This window comes from Homo sapiens, chromosome 11 (genome assembly GCF_000001405.40).
Source record: "Homo sapiens chromosome 11, GRCh38.p14 Primary Assembly".
Taxonomy (NCBI): domain Eukaryota; kingdom Metazoa; phylum Chordata; class Mammalia; order Primates; family Hominidae; genus Homo; species Homo sapiens.
In genome coordinates, this window is record NC_000011.10 from 90,538,041 (window position 1) to 90,557,596 (window position 19,556).

Sequence of the window (19,556 nt, forward strand, 5' to 3'; positions counted from 1 at the left end):
TCAATGTAGATGATTCCTAATTAACAAGTATTTTACTTACAAATGGTATTGACATATTAGCAAATGTCATTCCTTTTGCCTTCACTTGCCATAATCTGCCCATTTGTTTTCATGTCTGAGAAATCTAGTGTGGAAAAAAAATTCAACTTCGAATTTTAGAAAATATCTGGATCAGAGATTTAGGAAATAATGATTCTACATTATTGAGAATAATAATAAAGATAATAATAGATGTCTGGACTACCTATGTGGTCATTTCAGACTTCCTATTTTCATTTTACTTGGTAAAAAAAAAATAGGAATTTTAGAGTCTAATAGACTTACAGGTAAATTCCAGATCCACACTTTGACAGTTGTATGGTTTCAGCTAAATTTTCTCTACACAAGGGATAATAATATTGTGTACTCCAGAACCACAGGGTCATAATGCCCATGTATTGTTTCTAATTGTCATATATAGTACATATTCTCTCTATTTTTAGTATTTATATCTCCTTATGAATACTGGAAAATTCTGACAGATACTAAAAATTTAGTAATGACTATTGAATCTAGCCTTTGTATTTTAGAAATAAGGATCAGAAACCAAGAGAGATCAGATGATTTGTTCAAGTTTATAAAACTGGATAGCAGTGCCATTCAGAAGACAGCCCAGGTGCCTGGGGTCCAGGAGCTTCTCCTGCTGTGCTGTATCCTCCCCATCACATGCCTCATTATGATTCTCTTCATTACTCCCTACATGCTCCTTCCTCCACTCTACCTTCCCATAGTGTTGGTGATCAATATCTTCCCATAGTTTAGTGTGGTGTTTAGAGCAAGGATCCACATCATTATTGCGTTTTATTCTATTGACTCTGGTTTTGATGTTTCAGAGCAGGTTCAATTATTGAACATAAGAATCTCATTTAAATAATAGAAGAACTACTGGATTGCATTAGGAGCAAGATAGAAGTATTTGAGTTAATAAAAGGGCTATTGATACAATTGTCTCACAGCAATCTATCTCACAGATAATTTTTAGAATAAAGCCCATAACTACAAGAAGATATTTTCTTGATTTTGCTTTCTGCAGTTGATAAAATCCAGAATGACATTGTGCTTGGCACAAATCTAAGATATAGCGATCTTTTGTCAATTAGCTATCTTTTCTGTAAACATATTTAAAGAAGGTTTTGGAAACAGTTTCTTGATAGAAAGGAAAGCCATTTCAAAAGAGTAGCAGAATTATGAACTAAATCATACACTTTTTTTTTTTTTAAAGTTCACCTAAGATTACTATAATGGAAGCCAGAGAAGCCATGGACACCAAGATCAGAGCTATACTGACCGCTGTTCTTTAACTTTCCATAAATCTCTCTCTGGCAGATCTCTCTCTGTATATGATGGTAAAAGCAGAGCCCATGTTTTAATATTTATTGGTATTCTAGTTTTATGATTAGCACCTTCTTGTCTGCCGTAGCACTTTCTACTGCCCTGTGTGTTCTTGCTATCTTTATGTGTAGCAAACCTCACTACCATAAATGTTTGTCTCTTTTTCTATACTTACTTTTGGTAATTCCTTTTTTTTGTTTTTTAATTTCAACTTTCATTTTAGATCCAAGGAGTACATGTGCAGGTTTGTTAGAGTCCTTTGTCTGTTGTTCCCACTTTTGCGTCCATGTTTACCCATTGTTTACCATTTATGAGTGACAACAAGTGATGTTTTGTTTTCTGTTTCTGTGTTAGTTTGCTTCGTATAATGACCGAAACTGCATCCATATTGCTGCAAAGGACATTATTACATTCAGTTTTATGGCTGTGTAGTATTCCATAGTGCATACGTACCACAGTTTCTTTATGCAATCCACTGTTTATGGGCTCCTAGATTGATTGCATGTCTTTGCTATTGTGAATAGTGCTGATATTTGCCATTTGTTCATGATTGTGACTGAGGAAATGTAATACAAAGTTCATATTTGCTTTAATAAAGTATTATTTTAATTCCAAAAATGGTTATTGGGAGCCAATCTATAAAGTGGATGATCCTTTTATTCTCCTTAAATGTGAATAGAGCTTACGCACATGTTAGTTTAATTGTAAGTATCCCATTTATCTCTTAGAGGAAGCATATGTTATCCAAGTATTTTAGAGAGACAAAGGCTTATAAAATAACTAGTGATTGTGAAACTATAATTGAATACTCTCCACTCCAGTGTTACAACTATTAGCACTTTTCTTATACCAGAGTTGCTGCTCAGAATCATCACCAAAATTTGGAATTAATATTCTTCTTAGTTATAAAATGATAATTTTTTTGTATTTATTTTTCCAGTGTAGTATGTTTGTTTTATTATCTCTTTATGATTTTAATTTATATTTTTCCGATTAAAGAGGAGCTTAAAAAACTTTTCACATGTTTAAACTTCCTCCTGTGTGAAGGACTGATTGCCTTTTTCTTATTTATCTGTAAAAGATATTTATATATTCCACATATAAAACTTTCATTGGATATTTATATTACAAATAATTATTCCCATTTTATGGCTTCCATTTTTTACTAAGAATATGGTATACTTTTATGAACAAAAGTCTTAGTTACAATGTAGCCTATTTTTACCAATTTATTTTCTTTAGAGTTAGTGCTTTTTGAGTCTTGTTTAATGAATTATTTTCTAACCCAAAGTTATAAAGATTTTTCCTCTGCTATGTTCTAAAAAATTTATTATTTTTCTTTGCATATTTAAGGCTATTATCTATCTGGGATTTATTTGTATATGTAGAGGGTAAGACTCCAAAAGTATTTTTATCTATTTGGATCTCCAAATGTCCCAACTTATTTATTTAAAAACAAACACTTTGGGAGGCCCAGGAGGGTGGATCATCTGAGGTTGGGAGTTTGAGACCAGCCTGACCAACACGGAGAAACCCTGTATCTACTAAAAATACAAAATTAGCTGGGCGTGGTGGCACATGCCTAGAATCCCATCTACTCAGCAAGGCTGAGGCAGGAGAATTGCTTGAACCCAGGCAGTGGAAGTTGCGGTGAGCCAAGATCATGCTATTGCACTCCAGCCTGGGCAACAAGAGCGAAACTTGGTCTCAACAAACAAACAAACAAACAAAAACACACTATCACTCTCTGACTATTTTGGCGTGCCAATTTTGTCATAAATTAAACGTCCATAAATGTATGTTGTATTTCTGGTGTTGCTATTTAGTTTCCTTGGTGTGTTTGTCTATCTTTTCTCCAGTGCTACCATGTCTCATTGTGGCTTTTTAATAAATTGTTCTGTTCAATAGGGTAGTTTCTCCCCCTTTGTGTATCTTTGAGTATCAAGTATTCACTGTTCTTGGCCCTTTGACTTTGTATATACACTTCTGAATAATTGTTAATTTCCAATGTAAAATCCCTGCTGGGATTTTTATCGAGTTCATATTGAATCTATAGATCAATTTAGAGACAATTGACATTTTATAATGTTAAGTCTTCCTATGCCTAAACATGTGTATCACTTAATTTTCTCTCATTAAATTTTTATAGATTGTTCCAGAGATGTCTTATATACCTTTTATTAGATTTAGTTCTCAGAATGTAATATCATTTATGACATTATAAATAACATTGATTCAAATTACATTTTAATTGTTTTCTTTTATAAATAAATAAGCTGATTTTTGTATATTTGTATATTCAATCTAGCTAAATTAAAGTATGTGATTGATATTTAAGTTTTAAAATACACAATCATATTACCTATGGATATTGACTGTTTTATTCCTTTTCAATTTTTATTTGAGTTTTTCATACTTAATATACTCATTAGCACTGGACAATGTTGAAGATTTTTGGTGATACCTGGAAACCTTGTCTTATTCCTCATCTCAGAGGGAAATCTTTCAATATTTCCTCATTAAGTATAATTTCTGCAGGTATATCCTTACATATATAGTAGATATTTATTATTTGTGGATTTCATTTTTGCAAATTATTCTACTAGCAAAAAATTATTTGTAACCCCCAAATCAATGTTCTATGCACTTTTATGGTCATTCAGAGACATACTCAGTGTTATGAGAAACTTAAGTCACCCAATACCCCTCTTCCCAGCTAAGGTTGAACAAGGTGATTCTCTGTCTTTTTGTTTTCAACTCTCATGCTGTAAAGAGTATCCTTTTTTGCAGTCTATTTAGTGCCACATTTTCCAAATTTTTATGTTTGTTTGTTGGGTGAGTTCACATTTAATATGCCACCAAGTGTAGTGAAGTGCCATCTAGTGTTGCTAAACACAGGAAGACTGTGATATGGCTTACAAAAAAAGAAAATACTTGGATAAGCTTCATTTAAGCCTGATTTGCAGTGCTGTATCTATTACTTCAATGGTAGCTATAATATATCCTATTTATATCATGGTAGTACTGAGTTAAGGTTATTTACATTCCCTCCTGCCAATATTCAGGAGTGATATTGGTGTGTATTCTGTTTCTGTGTATTCTTGCAGTGTCTTTGTAGAATTTTAAGACCAAGGCTATGCTAGTCATCAAAAATAGTTGGTGGCCAGGTATGGTGGCTCATGCATGTAATCCTGGCACTTTGGGAGGACAAGATGGGAGGATTTCTTGAGGCCAGGAGTTCAAGACCAGCCTTAGCAACATAGTCAAACCCTGTTCCTACTTTTAAAAATAAAATAAAAATTAGCTGGGCATAGTGGCACACATCTGTAGTCCCAGCTACTTGGGAGGCTGAGTTAAGAGGATTGCTTGAGCCCAGAAGTTAGAGGCTAAAATGATCTATAGTGGTGGCACTACACATTTGCTTGGGTGACAGAATGAGACCCTATTTCTTAAAAATAAAAATGTTGGTAGGTATTCTTTTTTCCAATTCCCTGGATTAATCAGGATTGACTAGACTATTCTCCATTAACAAACATCTTCAGAATCTCATAGATTACACACACACATACACACACACACACACACACACACACACACACACACAGAGGCAAACACATACTATTTCTCTTTAATAAAAAATCTTCTGGCCTGCGATCCCTATCCTGTATACAGAAAAGTCAGCTCAGTCGTAGAGATTTGCCTTTCAGAAATTCAAGCTTTGTTGATTCTTTCTTTGTTAATCTATTATGTGTGTGCTTTAAAAAAATTAGTTAATTTCCATTCTTCTTTCATAACACAAGCCTTTACATTATTAAGTTTTCCTTTAAGTACTGATAGAGTTGCATCCCGCAAGTTTTGATATACATTTCCATTGTTATTTAGTCAAAATATTATCTCAATTTTATTATACTTCCTTTTTTGGTCCAGTGATTATTTAGAATTGTACTTATTAATGTCTGAATGCCGGAGGATTTCCTACTTTTATTTTTGTTGTTGATTTGCAGTATAATTATATTATTATCAGAGGACATACTCATGATTTCAGCCCAAGGAATTTGGGAATTTCACTCTTTCTTAATTAATACATTTTCTTTCATCTAAGCACTGGGAGAGTGGGGAAATTTAAACTAGTAATTCAAGGACTCCTTCAGAATCAAACTCTTAATCTGGTTGTTGACTCTGTTAGTCTACAGCTACAAGAGATGAGAGACTTAGTCTATCATTCATAAAAACTGACCATTTCCTGGGATAGACCGCTGGGTCACTATAACATTTGGATCTGGTTTGCCTACATTGAAGAAGATAAGGATGTCTTCAAAAGGCTAGCTTGAAAGGGGATATCCATCCTCCACAAACCTCACTCCCATCAGCCCTCATTGCCTCCAGATCCATAAATGGAGTAGATTCTGTCAGGCTCAAGCAGAGGCAGATTAAAGCGTCAAAATAGAGTGAGCATGCTTTGTATTTATGTGAATATGTCTTAATTATATTAAGTGGAAACATGCTATTGTGTCAATATTGTTCTTTCTCCTGTATTTGTACCATTAGCATGCAAGCATGTAGTTATTTTTCTCATATCTTTATCCTACTCTGCCTCTACTTCATTTTTCTACTGTCACTTTTTTCTCATTTTAATGCTCAATAGAGTTGCGTATACTCAGTCTCTAGTTGTCTCTATTCTCATTTAAGTGAATCTAGTCAGGCTTACATGCTGCTGCCTACCACCACATGAAACTGTCCATGTTGCAGGGTTCAGTGACCACCATGTGGCTATTTATAGTGATCAAATATCACCATTTATCAATTTCGAACTACCAACATCATCTGGAAACTTCCTTAGATATTTTTTACTTGATGTATTGGGTTGAATAGTGTCCTCTGAAAACTTATGTCCACCTGGAACTTCAGCATGTGACCTTGTTTGCAAATAGGATATTTGTAGGTGTCATTATCTAAAATTAGATCATCCTGGGTTGGTACAGTCCCTAAACAATAACTGGTGTCCTCATAAGAAGAGAAAACATACACAGGGTCACACACAGAGACAAGATGGCTGTGTAAATACATAGGCAGAAATAGGAGTGATGAAGGCTAAGAAACCCAAGAATTCCTGGCAATCACCAGAACTAGGAAAAGACATGAAGGAATCCTCTCTCAGAGACTTTAGAGCAAGCACAGCTCTGCGGACAACTTGATTTTAGACTTCTTGCCTCCAGAACTGTGAGAAAATAAACTTTTGTTGTTTTAGGGCACCCAGTTTGTGGTACTTTCTTAGGGAAGCCCTAGGAAACCAACATGCTTGCATCTAGGACTTCATAGCCTCTTGTGTTTGTTCATAGCCCATTGGCCTTTCCTAAATCTCTTTGGTTGGTCCTTCTTCTTACCCCTGATCTGTTAACATGGTGTTCTAGGCCTGTGCCATGACCGTTTTTAGCAATCTACACTCATGTCCTTTGTGACTTTACCAGTCCTATGACTTCCAAAATGATGTGTTCCCTGAAAACTCCCAAATGTGCATTTGCCACATGGAACACTGTAATCGCAAGTCTCACATTGATCAGCTTGCCAACTGACACCTCCACTTGTATTTCTAGTAGACATCTCATATTTAGTATGACTCACCAAAAAACAAACAATAACAGACACCTTTCCTCCCCTTCACGACCTGAGATTTATCTTCACTTTTTATCCTGTCAATTAGTAGCAAGTCCATCCTTTTATTTGCTCATTCAAAAAGTTTGGAATCTTCCTGTATGCCTCACTTGTTTTTCATCAGAAAATCCTTTGTACTTTATGTTCAAAATGTATTGAGAACTGCATTTACTGCTCATCACCTCCCCTGGTAGCACAGCACCATTATCATCGAGAAGGGTTATTGCTATAGCCTCCTAACTGCCCTCCTTCATCCGATCTTGCTCTTCCCCTTCAGTCTATTCTGAATGCGTTAGACAAAGGGATCCTGTTCAAACACAAGTTCCATTGTATCAGTCTGAGGGCCTAACTATTCCATGTATATTCATCTTGTTCAGAGTAAAAATTAAAGTCCCCATTAAAGCCTATAGGCTCTGTACCATCTGACCTCCACTATCTCTCTCTTCTCCTCTCCTACCACCCAGAACTCCTGACTCACTCACTCCAGCTATGTGAAGCTCCTCATTTTTCCTTCAATATTAAACACATTCTTTTCTTCCAGGACTTTACATTGTCTATTTTTGGGGCCTAAAATGCTTTTCCTACAAATTTTTCATGGCTTACTTCTCACCTTAATTCTTTGCTCAAATGTCCCCCTTTCAATAAATTTTACTCTATACTTTAAAAATTACAATCTTCATCATCTGGCACTCACTGTCATTTCTTGCTTATTTTTTTCCCAAAGAATTTATCATATTAAAGTTCTAATATGGTACGTAACCTATTTATGCACTTTTAATGTGTGTCTTCTTTGACTAGGTGTGTAAACTCCATGAAGTCTTTATCCACAGCACCAAACATATGACTGGCACACAATAAGTTATTTGACAGATCAATTAGTGAAGCAGTGATTAAATAAATTTATATTCTACCAGTCAGATGCACTTGTGGAGGACTTTAATTTGGAACTGAAGAAAACAAGATGAGAGATACAGCGTGGGGCATCCATTTTAAACGTAATTCTTAAATCAGCTTCAATATGTTCCATTATCTGGAACTGAAACGTGATAGATATGCATATACATTTATGAAAAAAAGAACTACTTTATAGGCATATTCTATACATTGACTATTATACACTCATTTTCTTTCATTTTAATTTTTAAAATAAAAAATTAATTTTCGTTTTATTTTTATTTCAAGTATAAGAATTATTTTCTTTTTATAAGTAGTCATTAGGTGTCTATTTTATTTCAGGTACTCTGCAAAATAAATAATATAATGGTGTAATAAAAATAACCATAGGCATCAATTGAGCAATAACTACCATACTTTGATAATTACCCACACATACATGCAAACATGCATAGACACACACACACACACACACACACACACACACAATCTCATTTAACCTTTACAGCAACTCTGTAAAACAGGTGTTATTGTTCTCAATATACAGAATAGGAAATTGAGGTTCAAGAGGTTAATTAACTTTTTGAAGTTCACACAAGTAATTATAAGACAATTTGAACCACCGTTTGTCTAAATCCAATACCTTCTCTAATTGGGTAATGCTGCCTCAGAGTTTATAAATAGGAGGAAAGACATAATTAAACCAATAATTGTTTTTAACTGTTAAAATATTGTAGTATTTACATTCATTATACTAGAATACCAAAAATATCTATGTTTTGTGGTAATTTCACAGGCATTTATGAAGTAGGGACCTGGAATTGAAGAGACTCCTAAAGGAGAGACAGAAGTTTGAAAGAGCAAGAAGAGTGGATGTGGATCCAGACAGAAAAAGAGAACAGCAAATATTTGAAAGAGCTTAAGACGTACTCCTCAAGGTAAAAAACTCTATTTTATACATATAACATAATGTTAAATCTATTATTTGCATGTTCAGTGATGAAAAAAATTGTTCAGTAAAAAATAGGAAATTGCAATATTAATAACACCTAACATTGAAGACTGACTTACAGTGTAATAAATACTTTATATGGATCATGCCATTTAATCCCCACAATAATCATAGAAAGCAGAAATGTTTATGAAGCCCATTTTTAAGAGGAGAAAACTGAAACACAGAAATATTACAAATCTTGACTAAAATTATAAAACTTGCTAAAGCTACAAAGCCATTGGCACGAGGAACTGGTAATTAAACCTGGTAATATCGCCCTAAAGCTCAGACACTTAACCACTATGTAGTTATCTATCTGTCTCTTTCCCTTCCTCTCTGTCTCCCCAGTCATACAGGTCTCACAGATAGTTTAATAGTAATTGAAAAGTATTTCTCTTTTATTTATTTTTACTTCCTGGGTACTGAAATTTCTTTATGTGTTTGAAATTTTGCCTTCTATGGGTGAGATACTTGCTTTTGCAGAACTTTGGAAGTTAGGTTGTAAAAAGATGTCTGACATTCAGCCAATCAGAGGTTTTGCCCATATTTTTTTGCACTTCAGTGGGTGATTTAAAGACTAAACTACAGTTTAGGTTTGCATTTGTCTCATCATCATGGAAAGTTGCATTTTGCATGGTACACTGAGTGGTGCTGGCAGTGACATCAGGATCCTGGAGCTGTGCTGGAACTGGAGTGACAGGCAGTGTCCAGGGTAAGCATTAGCGTTGGCTTGCAATAACCAATGTCCAGCAATAACATGCCTCTGGTCTTATTTGTTTGCTTGACTTGACTGTGGTTCTGACACTGAGCTTGCCTGTTTTCCTTTTTCTTCTTTCTTTGTTTTTATGGTGTCTTTCTTTTCTTTTCTTTTTTTTCTTTCTTTCTTTCTTTCTTTCTTTCTTTCTTTCTTTCTTTCTTTCTTTCTTTCTTTCTCTTTCTTTTTTTCTTTTTCTCTCTTTCTCTTTCTTTCTTTCTGTCTTTCTCTCTCTCTCTCTCTCTCTTTCTTTCTTCCCGGAGTTTCGCTCTTGTCACCCAGGCTGGAGTGCAGTGGCGTGATCTCTTCTCACTGCAACCTCCACCTCCTGGGTTCAAATGATTCTCCTGCCTCAGCCTCCCGAGAAGCTGGAATTAACAAGCATGTGTCACCATGCCCAGCTAAATTTTGTATTTTTAGTAGTGACAGGGTTTCACCATGTTGGTCAGGCTGGTCTCGAACTCCTGACCTCAGGTGATCTGCCCCCCCTTGGCCTCCCAAAGTGCTGGGATTACAGGCGTGAGCCACCTCACCTAGCCATTTTTTTAAAGCCACTTCTGACTTCTGGGCTTTGTTTTCTGGCATTTCCACTTCCTTATATCCATTTATCAAATATTATTATTATTATTTTGCTTAAATTAGCTAAATCCTTGCACACTTGAGAACGAAAATCTATTCTGTAGGCAGAAAATTCTCATCCAAATTCCTTGAACATTATCTAAACCTTACATAAATTTTCTCCATGTCATCCTTCAGCAGTAATAAATTGGATAGAACTTGGTTTTATCCATAAATATGTAGAAGTGATTTTTCTAAAACTGCTACAAATAGGAATGATTTTGTTGATTTTTTACTCCTGGTTTTCATAAGCTAACACCGAGAGCACAAAAGAATTTTATTTAGGTAAGATTGGTCAATGATTTGAAGCTTGAGACATTAAATATTAATAATTCAGAAATTTATTCTACTTCTGAGCAAGCATCTTTATTGATCATAAGCATTACAATAAGAGTTTGGGTATAAAAAATGCATGTAGTCAGAGAAATGGTGTGCTGAGTGATGCTTAAATTATTGTAGACCTTTTCAGAAGTCATGTGGTTTTGTATTAAATGGGAATGCAGTGATAAAATAGTGTGATAAAAAGTTTAGCCCAGCAATGCTATAAAAAGTATACAACAAACGAAGAAGAAAACAAAATCGGTTACAAAATCTTTTAAGGATAAAAGTGCAGATTAGAAACAACTATTTAACTAGAGAACCCTTATCATGCTTTTGAAAGAATATAGCATGTTGAAGTGAGGGACCTAGCTATTACTTCTATGGACTAAAAGAGGCTATACTAAGTTTTTTATCTCTTGTCTGTATTCTGAGGGTATACACTCTTTGTACTTTTTTAAATGCATAAACTTTTGAATTTGCAGCTGGCTTGCTAATTTAGCTCCAGTTTTAGTTTTGTTGCAAGATCAAATTACCTTGGTGTTTGTAGAACAGTAATTAAAAATTATTTTTTATTATTTACATAAGATTGAATAAACTCATTTTACTGACCTGTCATAATCAGCTCCAATTTTTCTTTCTGCTAGTAAGGGGGTTGGTAGTGTGTTTATTGCTCTACTATAATTTCAACAACCTAATCTTATTTAAAGAGACAATCAAATAATTAATGTTTGTATGCACCTATGTATTGATTCTTAATGGGCTATATTCAGTAGCATTAAAGCAGGAAAGAGGTTAATTCTTTCTATGTTCAACGCTGGTTTCTTTCATTTGAAATAACAATACCTACATTGGGTATTATAAAGTCTATTTTAGTTTAAGCCAAGATTTTAAACTTTTTTTTTTCTTCTCTCTACCTAATGCCTGGTTGAAGTTCAGGAGAAAGAAGAGTCATTTGTTTTGTTCTTTTACTATTTTTGTTCTTCTTAGGTCTTTGCTTTATAACTTAAGTAAAATACGGAGTTGTGAAGGGGAGGAAAAGAGATAAAGAAAACAAAACAAAACAAAAAAAGAAGGCCTGCTTCCTCAGCTGTTCAAGCACCAAAATTTATCTTTGGTGATTTATCTGGAAATCTTCCTGCAGGGACCTTTTCCCTTACAAGCTTCATGACCTTGCTTTCTAACAAGCTTCATGAACAACTCTCCAGATACCTTCATGCTCCTTGTTAATTCCTTTCCCCTAAGCAGTGTCCTATGGCCTCTTTCTATTGGGAAACCCATGGCAAGAGGACAAACCTACAGTCCCACTTAGCCCACAGGGAAACTCACGCATCTGAGGTGCAGCTTGTCCGTCGAGTGCCAATGAGGTCTCCTCCAGCAAGCCTCTAGCTCTGCTCTATAACTTAACTTACATTCAAAAGATCTTGGGGATATATGTGAGATTCTCTCAAGAACTCACTCATGCTTATTCAGATTGATGCAAACAAATAGCAGCTCAGCAAGTAGCCAGCCAGGGGTAAAATGCCCATCTTCTTTCTTGCAAACAATCTCCATATTTATGATCTGATTTCTTGGAGCCTCTCTACTTAGCTGGCATTAGAAAGAAGTACTATACTTTTCTCCTACAAGGATTGCACATTGTTTTTTAGTAACTGTTCTAAGCATATGACATGTATGTTGGAATTTTGCAGAGATCCAATAATAATTTATCTCTGTTTCTTGTGTGAGATATGAACCAATTGAGAATTATGACCAAGAAACAGGAAGATGACAGTCTAAATTAAACCTTTCTGAATTACAGAACCAAGGTTGATATGAGAAGCAAATGGGTCCTTCTAATACCTAATTTTGAACCCTAGAATAAGACCAATGTACTAATATGATTATGGAGCTTTGGACTGGGTTACTCCACAGGTGATGCTGTTACCTAGAGAAGTGAAAGAGGGTGTGTGCTCTCAAAGGGTATTCACTTCTCCAAAAGGAACAAGGTGGGAACTGAGCTCAGTATCTTGAGTTGAGTAAATGGGCAAAGAGAAACTAAAAGTGAGGCAGAACTGAGTATCCTCTTGGAAGAAATCATCAGAGGAGGAAAGAAACATTCTTCTTAGTGATGCATTAATTCCTTTGTCTCAAAAAATGATGAGAAAAGCTTAGCAATTTATATATAGTAAGGCAAGTGATATTGTAGGAATATGCATGGGATACCATGTTACTATAGAGCATCTAGTCTAGACCAAGAGTGAAGGTAGTAAGATTATAATGACATAATATTTAACTGTATTATAATTGTCTAAAAATAAAAATGTTATAAATATCTTAAAAATTAAAGTATTTTATGCAAGGCATATTTTATACCTGAAAAAACCAAAGCTTAGACAGGTTAACTTTGCCAAGTCTCCACATTGAATTCTAACCGGGCTTCAAATTCAGATTGGTCTGATTCCAAAACCTGTGACTTTTGGTTTTCAGAAATGATGCTTCTACTGAATTTTAAAGGGCAAGTAGGAGTAGTTAACTAATTTGCAAAGGTGAGAGAGGAAACTACAATAAAAATAGTGTATCTTTTAGCTTTTGTTGTGTAACAAACCATGTCATAACTTACTAGTTTGAAACAAAGGCCAGTAAACTATGGCAACATTATTTTTACTGGAACTATAAATCATGTTTAAATAAAGTTTTTTCGGCATACAGTCATATCCATACATTAATCTATTGTTTATGACTGTTTTCTTGCTACAGTTACAAAGCTGAATGCTTGAGACAGAGATCATATGATTCACAAAGTCAAAAATATTGTTATATGGCACTTTCCAGAAGCCTAGATTAAAAAAAAAAGTAAACACATCTTTGTTATTTCTCACAGTTCTTTGGGTTAGTTGAATGTTTCTTTGGTCTGAGTCAGCTCATCTAGGGCTGCATAGACAAAGATAGTCCCCTGTATAGTGCTTAGCAGTAGACACAATGGCTGTTCCTAGAAAGACTTCAGTCAGGGAGGATGGTCTCTGCTCTGTGTGGTATCATCCTCTAATAGAAACATCTTGTTTTTTTCCTATGCAACAACCTCATGGCTCCAAACAGCAGAGATGTCCCAATGCACAAGCATATTTCAAGCCTCATCCCATTTAGTAACACCCATTAACCAACGCGCAATGGCTTACAAGGCACAGAATGAGCACTCTGATAAGCCGCAGTCAGACTCCATGGAGAACGGGAATACATGATCTTTCATGAGTCAACAGTAGCTCTTGTGGTCTGAGAGCAGTTCTAGTCATTCAACAGCACAGCTTATTCCCTTCTCAAGAAAACGTTACCTCTTTGACTTAGCCTGCCATTTAGTGATTCTTTTCTACTCATTTGTGTTTTCTGCTCAGCTTTTGCCATTTTTTTCCCTTTTTCTCTCATGACTCATATTTACCCGTGTTTTTTGATCCCTTGTAACTTGTACTGCTTTTATTTTTAAAATTCTCCATTTTTATTTTTAACTCTATTTTATATATTCTCTGGAAATCACACTTCAACCTTCTTAAGAGGGTTTAAGATTTAGTTAGCCAGATGCAGTTTGGTTAAGAGTTTTTTTTTTTTTTTTTTTTTTGTCAGAGTTCTTACATAAGGACACTTCATAGCTACCAGTCGGACTCTAGATTGCTACCCTGGGCCAGATAATGGAATCCTATAGTTAAAAAAGTTAAAGAAAAAACAAAAGACAACAAAACACCCTGCCTCCACAAAAAATTACCTATTAATCTTTTTAGGAGTAATGTCTCAGAAAGATCTTGTTCTATAAATGAGCAATTTCCAACAAATATGTCATAAATACCTTTTAAGTGTGCAAGATATTGAAACCCCCAGGCTGGAGTGCACCAAGGCAGGCCCTGGGAAAATTAGAATTCTTGGTTGGTTGTCTCTGTCCCACTGACAGTTTCTCCATTCACCCTAATGAGTTTACAAGTATTGTCATATTTATATGTGCTATTTCATGAAAAATAATAGCAAACACAGACTTTGTGCTTTCCTCTGCTTTCTCTGCTCAACTGGGATATCCAAAGCTGCATAGCTTTCAGGAACAGATTCTTTAATGTATAGTTTCCACAACAGTTTTTTTTTTTTCCTTTTGACTTTTTGTAGCATTTCTAATATTTACCATCCCATTTAAATCTTATTTTTTTTGGTTAAGTTTCTCCATTGTCTCACTGAATTATATATGTCATTGCTACATCTCAATCAAAATATTTTATTTCTCCAAGGGAAATGCAAGTATGGAGAAACCAAGAACATTTATCCTACTTCTTTTTGTCTTTGTCATGGCACTTATTATAGTATTGGGCACAGGGTAAATATTTACTGTTTTTTTAAATGATAGAATTAAGCTTGAAAAAGGATGGCATACTACACATTTTGCAGATAATAAGGAACTTTCTGTAAAGACATTATATACTGGCATTAGTAATTTGACTAACTGCAGTCTGAAAAATTGTAAGTCATATAAGAAAATGAATAAATGTCTAAAAGGAAACAAACAAGAACTTCTACATGTCTTCATTCTAGGACTCAGTGGCTATCAAATCTCATAGCACTTCTTGGATTTTAGTTTAAGAAGGTGGCACCCAATCACAAAATTATTCTAGTAGCATATTTCTTCACATGATTAGTTCTTAGGTTGATTTTTACTTCATTATGGAAAGACTTGTTTAGAGGTGACACTATGACATGGAAGGCATTGCATCTAATCACAATCAAATTAACATTGGATCATTTACTGCTGATAATCTCACTTTGGCAACCGTTATCAATCAAGTTTCTCTGAGGTTTGTTCATGCTTTAACAATTCATATTTCACGGTTGTGATTTTATGGCTATGAAATGTAATTCCCAAATGCCCAGACTACATGATCTTGAAACTAAGTAGGATATGAAAAATCACTCAATTCTGTGGCTAGAGCTACAATATTTAGTATGAAAAAAATTATGTATGTAGGCTGATTTTGAAACATGAAGAAGACAAAGGAAGTCTCTACCCTCAGGAGTCTGACTTGAAGTTAGGCAGACACTATAAATATATATATTTTTTTTTTTTACACTGAGCAAGTACTTGGTAGGAGAAAAACAATTGGTACAGAAGCCAAGATCATTGTAGGAAATGTCAGAACACTTAAATCTTTTACTTCTCTGTTCTTGTGTGTCCCAGCGTGGAAGCCTTGTGAAAACCCCAGGACAGATGTTTTCTCTTCTCTATACTCTGAAATAGCATGGCTGGTGTGATGATGTAACTCTTCTATGATAGGAATTCTTAACTTAGGCCCACAGACAGGTTCAATATATCAAAGAAATCCACAGAGTTATTTACATAATTTTGTCTGTAGGGGAAATTATGTATTTTTACTGAGAAAAATTTCATATATTACACAGAAGTCTCTGAATTAAAGCAGATTAAAAACAACACTTTATGTAAGTACTATCCAATGTGAATATAATGTGAGTTACAAATGTAAACCACATATTTAATTATACATTTTCTAGTTGCTATGCTATAAAAGTGAAAAGACTGGTAAAATTCATTTCAATAGTTATTTAATTTACCCCAATATGTCCAAAACATAGTTTTCAATGTATGTCATCCATCACTTAATGACAGGGATACGTTCTGAGAAATGCATTGTTAAGTAATTTCATGATTGTGCAAACATCAGAGAGTGTACTTACACAAACCTAGATGGGATAGCTTACCCTACACCTAGGGTATATGGTATAGCCTATTGCTACAAATCTATACAGCATGTTACTGTACTGAATACTATAGGCAGTTGTACCACAATGATAAATACTTGCGTATCTAAACATCTAAACATAGAAAAGGCACAGTAAAATTACCTTATTATAATTTTATGAAGCTACCGTTATACATGCAATCAGTTGTTGACCAACAGTTTGTAATGTGGCTCATGATGGTATATTCAATATGAAGTCATTAACAAGGTTTTTTTTAATAAGTTTTCAGATTTACTGTATATATTACACTCATAGCAAATCTCAATTGGGAGGAGTCAAATGTCAGATGCTCATTAGCCACACCTGCCTATTGGCTGCAGTAATGGACAGTGCAGCTCCAGCGTCTCCCTTTTGTTTTATCTTTCTACCATGATATGGTTTCATGATTTTTATCTCATCCACTGGCTTTCAGCATGTCCTGATGTCTTACTATCTCTCTCTTTCCCTCCCTCCCTCCTTCTTTTCTTCTCCTTCTCCCCTTTCCTGTCTCCCTTCTGGTTAAGGCCTCTGTCCTAAACATCCATTAATTCAGTAAATACTTTTAAGAACTATATTCAAGATGAGGTCAGAGAGATCAGTTATTTATAACATAAGTTGAATTACTGCTCTCAGAATCCATTATGAAGTCAAAGTCCTATGTGTAGGATTTCAGTGCATTCATAAAGGAAGGAAGGTTTAGAGGTTGCACAGGTCCATGAAGAAATCAGCCTATGCTTTTACCCAAAATGTTCCCTCTGCACACATATTCTTTGTTGTAAATAATTTCTATGTAACATACATGTTGCTAAAACACTTTGCAAAAGTAAATTTACCTTCTCATGTATAATTTGTAATATTTTTGTACATTATCCTATGAAATGGAACTGTTATGAAAAGCAAGTGGACATTGACACAAACAATACTAACTCTCTCTCACCTCTCTCTCTTTCCAAATAAATTATTCCCATTACTTAGTCTTTTAATCATATCTCTAACTTTTGAAGTCTTTTGTGATTTTGAGCTTCTCTCACCAAGTAACCTTTTTATATCACTTATTGTTAAAAACCCCATCAATAGCCCATGTTCTAACATGCCTTCTGCTAATTCACTCAATCGGCAAACATTTATTTAGTGTTTAGTATATTTCAAATATTGTGATAGGTTTTAAATAGACAGATGATAATTACATTAGTGAGATGCTTATTTTATTTGTCCTAGTGCAGATACTCATGAACTCATACTTTATGCCCCACTGAGTGTGGCTTAACTGAATTTTCAGTATATCTGATAACAAAAAAAAGAAAAAAAATTAAAAATGTATTTAAAAAGCCAGAGACTCCAGTGAGAACGTAATAATGTCTATCTCTGACATTTTGGGGTAATTAGTTTAGTTTCTAATATGCCCAAATCTCTTACCAGAGACCATTAAGTTCTGGTCTTTGGCCAGAGATTTGAGCATTGCAGAAACTATACTACATACTTAAATAAAAAATGTCAAACTATATATATAAATAAAAATTCCAAACTATATAAATAAAAATCCATGAATGATTATTTGTGTAATGATCATTACACTTAATCAGCCTAAGGTACAAAACAAGGTCACATATCTTTTACTATTTCACTTAAAATGTTGGAACTTTGATTTTCCTATTTTAAAACTCTTCTGCTTTACACACCAGCTTCTTCTCTTCTGTGATAATTTTACAAAACACTCACAATATTTTATTATATTGAATAGATAATTTCTAGTCATTCTTAGCTGGTTGTTGAATCAGAAATTACTTTCACAACTTCAGGCTTTGAGAAGGCCCAACTCTTCAAAGTGGTTACTTCAGAACAGTTTGTTGCACCAAGACAGAGATTCGTTGTTACACTTGACAGCCTAGATGTTCAAACTATTTAACTATTATAACAAAAATGTTACAATCTGTTATTCTAGGCAATGTAATTGAGACTGTTTCCTTCAACCTTGTAACTAGTATGATTCCAAATGATTTCATCCATTTAAAAAATACATTGGAACTTCTACTTCTGGGCAAGATTGAGCAATAAGGATGAATGTATGTTACAGCTTGAAAAAACCAAAACATGATACAATGGCTAACAAGGCACTGGTTGCTTGAAAACAAAAAAAAAAGTAATCTCTGAAAGATGAGAAACAAATAAATCCTAAAAATTCTTCCAATTCAGTGCGGTGAATTTCTAGGCAGCAGCACAGGGAGATAGCATTCAGTTGGAGACCTTTGAATTCCCGTGTTGTGGAGACAAAACTAAGAGTTGAGGAATAAGAAGGTGACTAGAGTTACCAGGGCAGAGAAAGGAATGCTACAAAGAGCGAGAACTCTAGAGATCAACAGAGGAGTCTCCTCAAATATTCAGCTGAGTGTTGACAAGCTCATGCATGCACAGTAACTGTATCAGGCCTGAGAAGGAACCACGTCAGACTCTATTATTAGAGGAAATAGTGACTAGTGCTTAAACAGGTGCTGGGACAAGTGCCTGTTCCAAAGAGAATCGAGAAATTCATGAGGCATTAGGTAGAGAACACAGAAGGTTCTTGCCTTAGAAGGATAATTTAACACTATGCTAAATGCTACACTGTTCTTGATTTATAAAAATTAGCAAGACATATAAGAAACACACTCTATCTAATTGACTTAAGTGAGTACCAAAATGAAACTTTTGACTGTTTTTTAAAAAGAATATTAAAAATCTGTCCCCTAAAGTACAAAATCCTTAATGTTTAGTATTTATTATTATTTTGCAAGCTGAAAAGCAAGAAAATGAAAACAATATTCAGGAGAACATTTAGACAAAACCAATTCACGACTGACACAGATGTTAAAGGATGAGGATATTATCATAGTTATAACTATGACAGGGTAGATACCAAAAAATATACAAATCAAATTCCAGAGGTAAAGACTAAAAATTTTGTAGTGAAAAATACAAGTTTTTTTTTTTTTTTCCCCAAGATGGCAGATTAGAGGCTTTTAGTGTGCCTCAGCTACTTGGAAATAGCAAAATAGTGCATAAAAATCTACTCTCTGAGCTTTAATTCAAGAAGACAAACAGGAAACCACTGCAATTGTGAAAGACATCCCAGATCCTGGGAAAAAGGTGGGCAAACTGTCGCAGTGATGGTGTCTGGCTGATAAAAATGAGTTAAGCCTCAGTTGGTGAGATTGGCAGAAAGCTTACCTCTGT

At 34.6% G+C, this 19,556-nt stretch overlaps 1 long non-coding RNA gene and 1 other non-coding gene across 2 annotated transcripts in view; one reads left to right on the forward strand and one right to left on the reverse strand.

Annotated features, from left to right (window-relative positions):
- The window catches only part of DISC1FP1 (DISC1 fusion partner 1), a 663,821-nt gene that overhangs the window by 286,809 nt on the left and 357,456 nt on the right, over positions 1-19,556 (forward strand). Inside the window, exon 2 of the long non-coding RNA NR_104190.1 lies at positions 8,714-8,855. This is a non-coding gene — a long non-coding RNA (DISC1 fusion partner 1). The remainder of the gene's footprint in view (positions 1-8,713; positions 8,856-19,556) is intronic.
- MIR4490 (microRNA 4490) lies at positions 17,734-17,817 on the reverse strand. Its single transcript, NR_039711.1, has one exon. It is a non-coding gene; the product is annotated as a microRNA 4490 (primary transcript).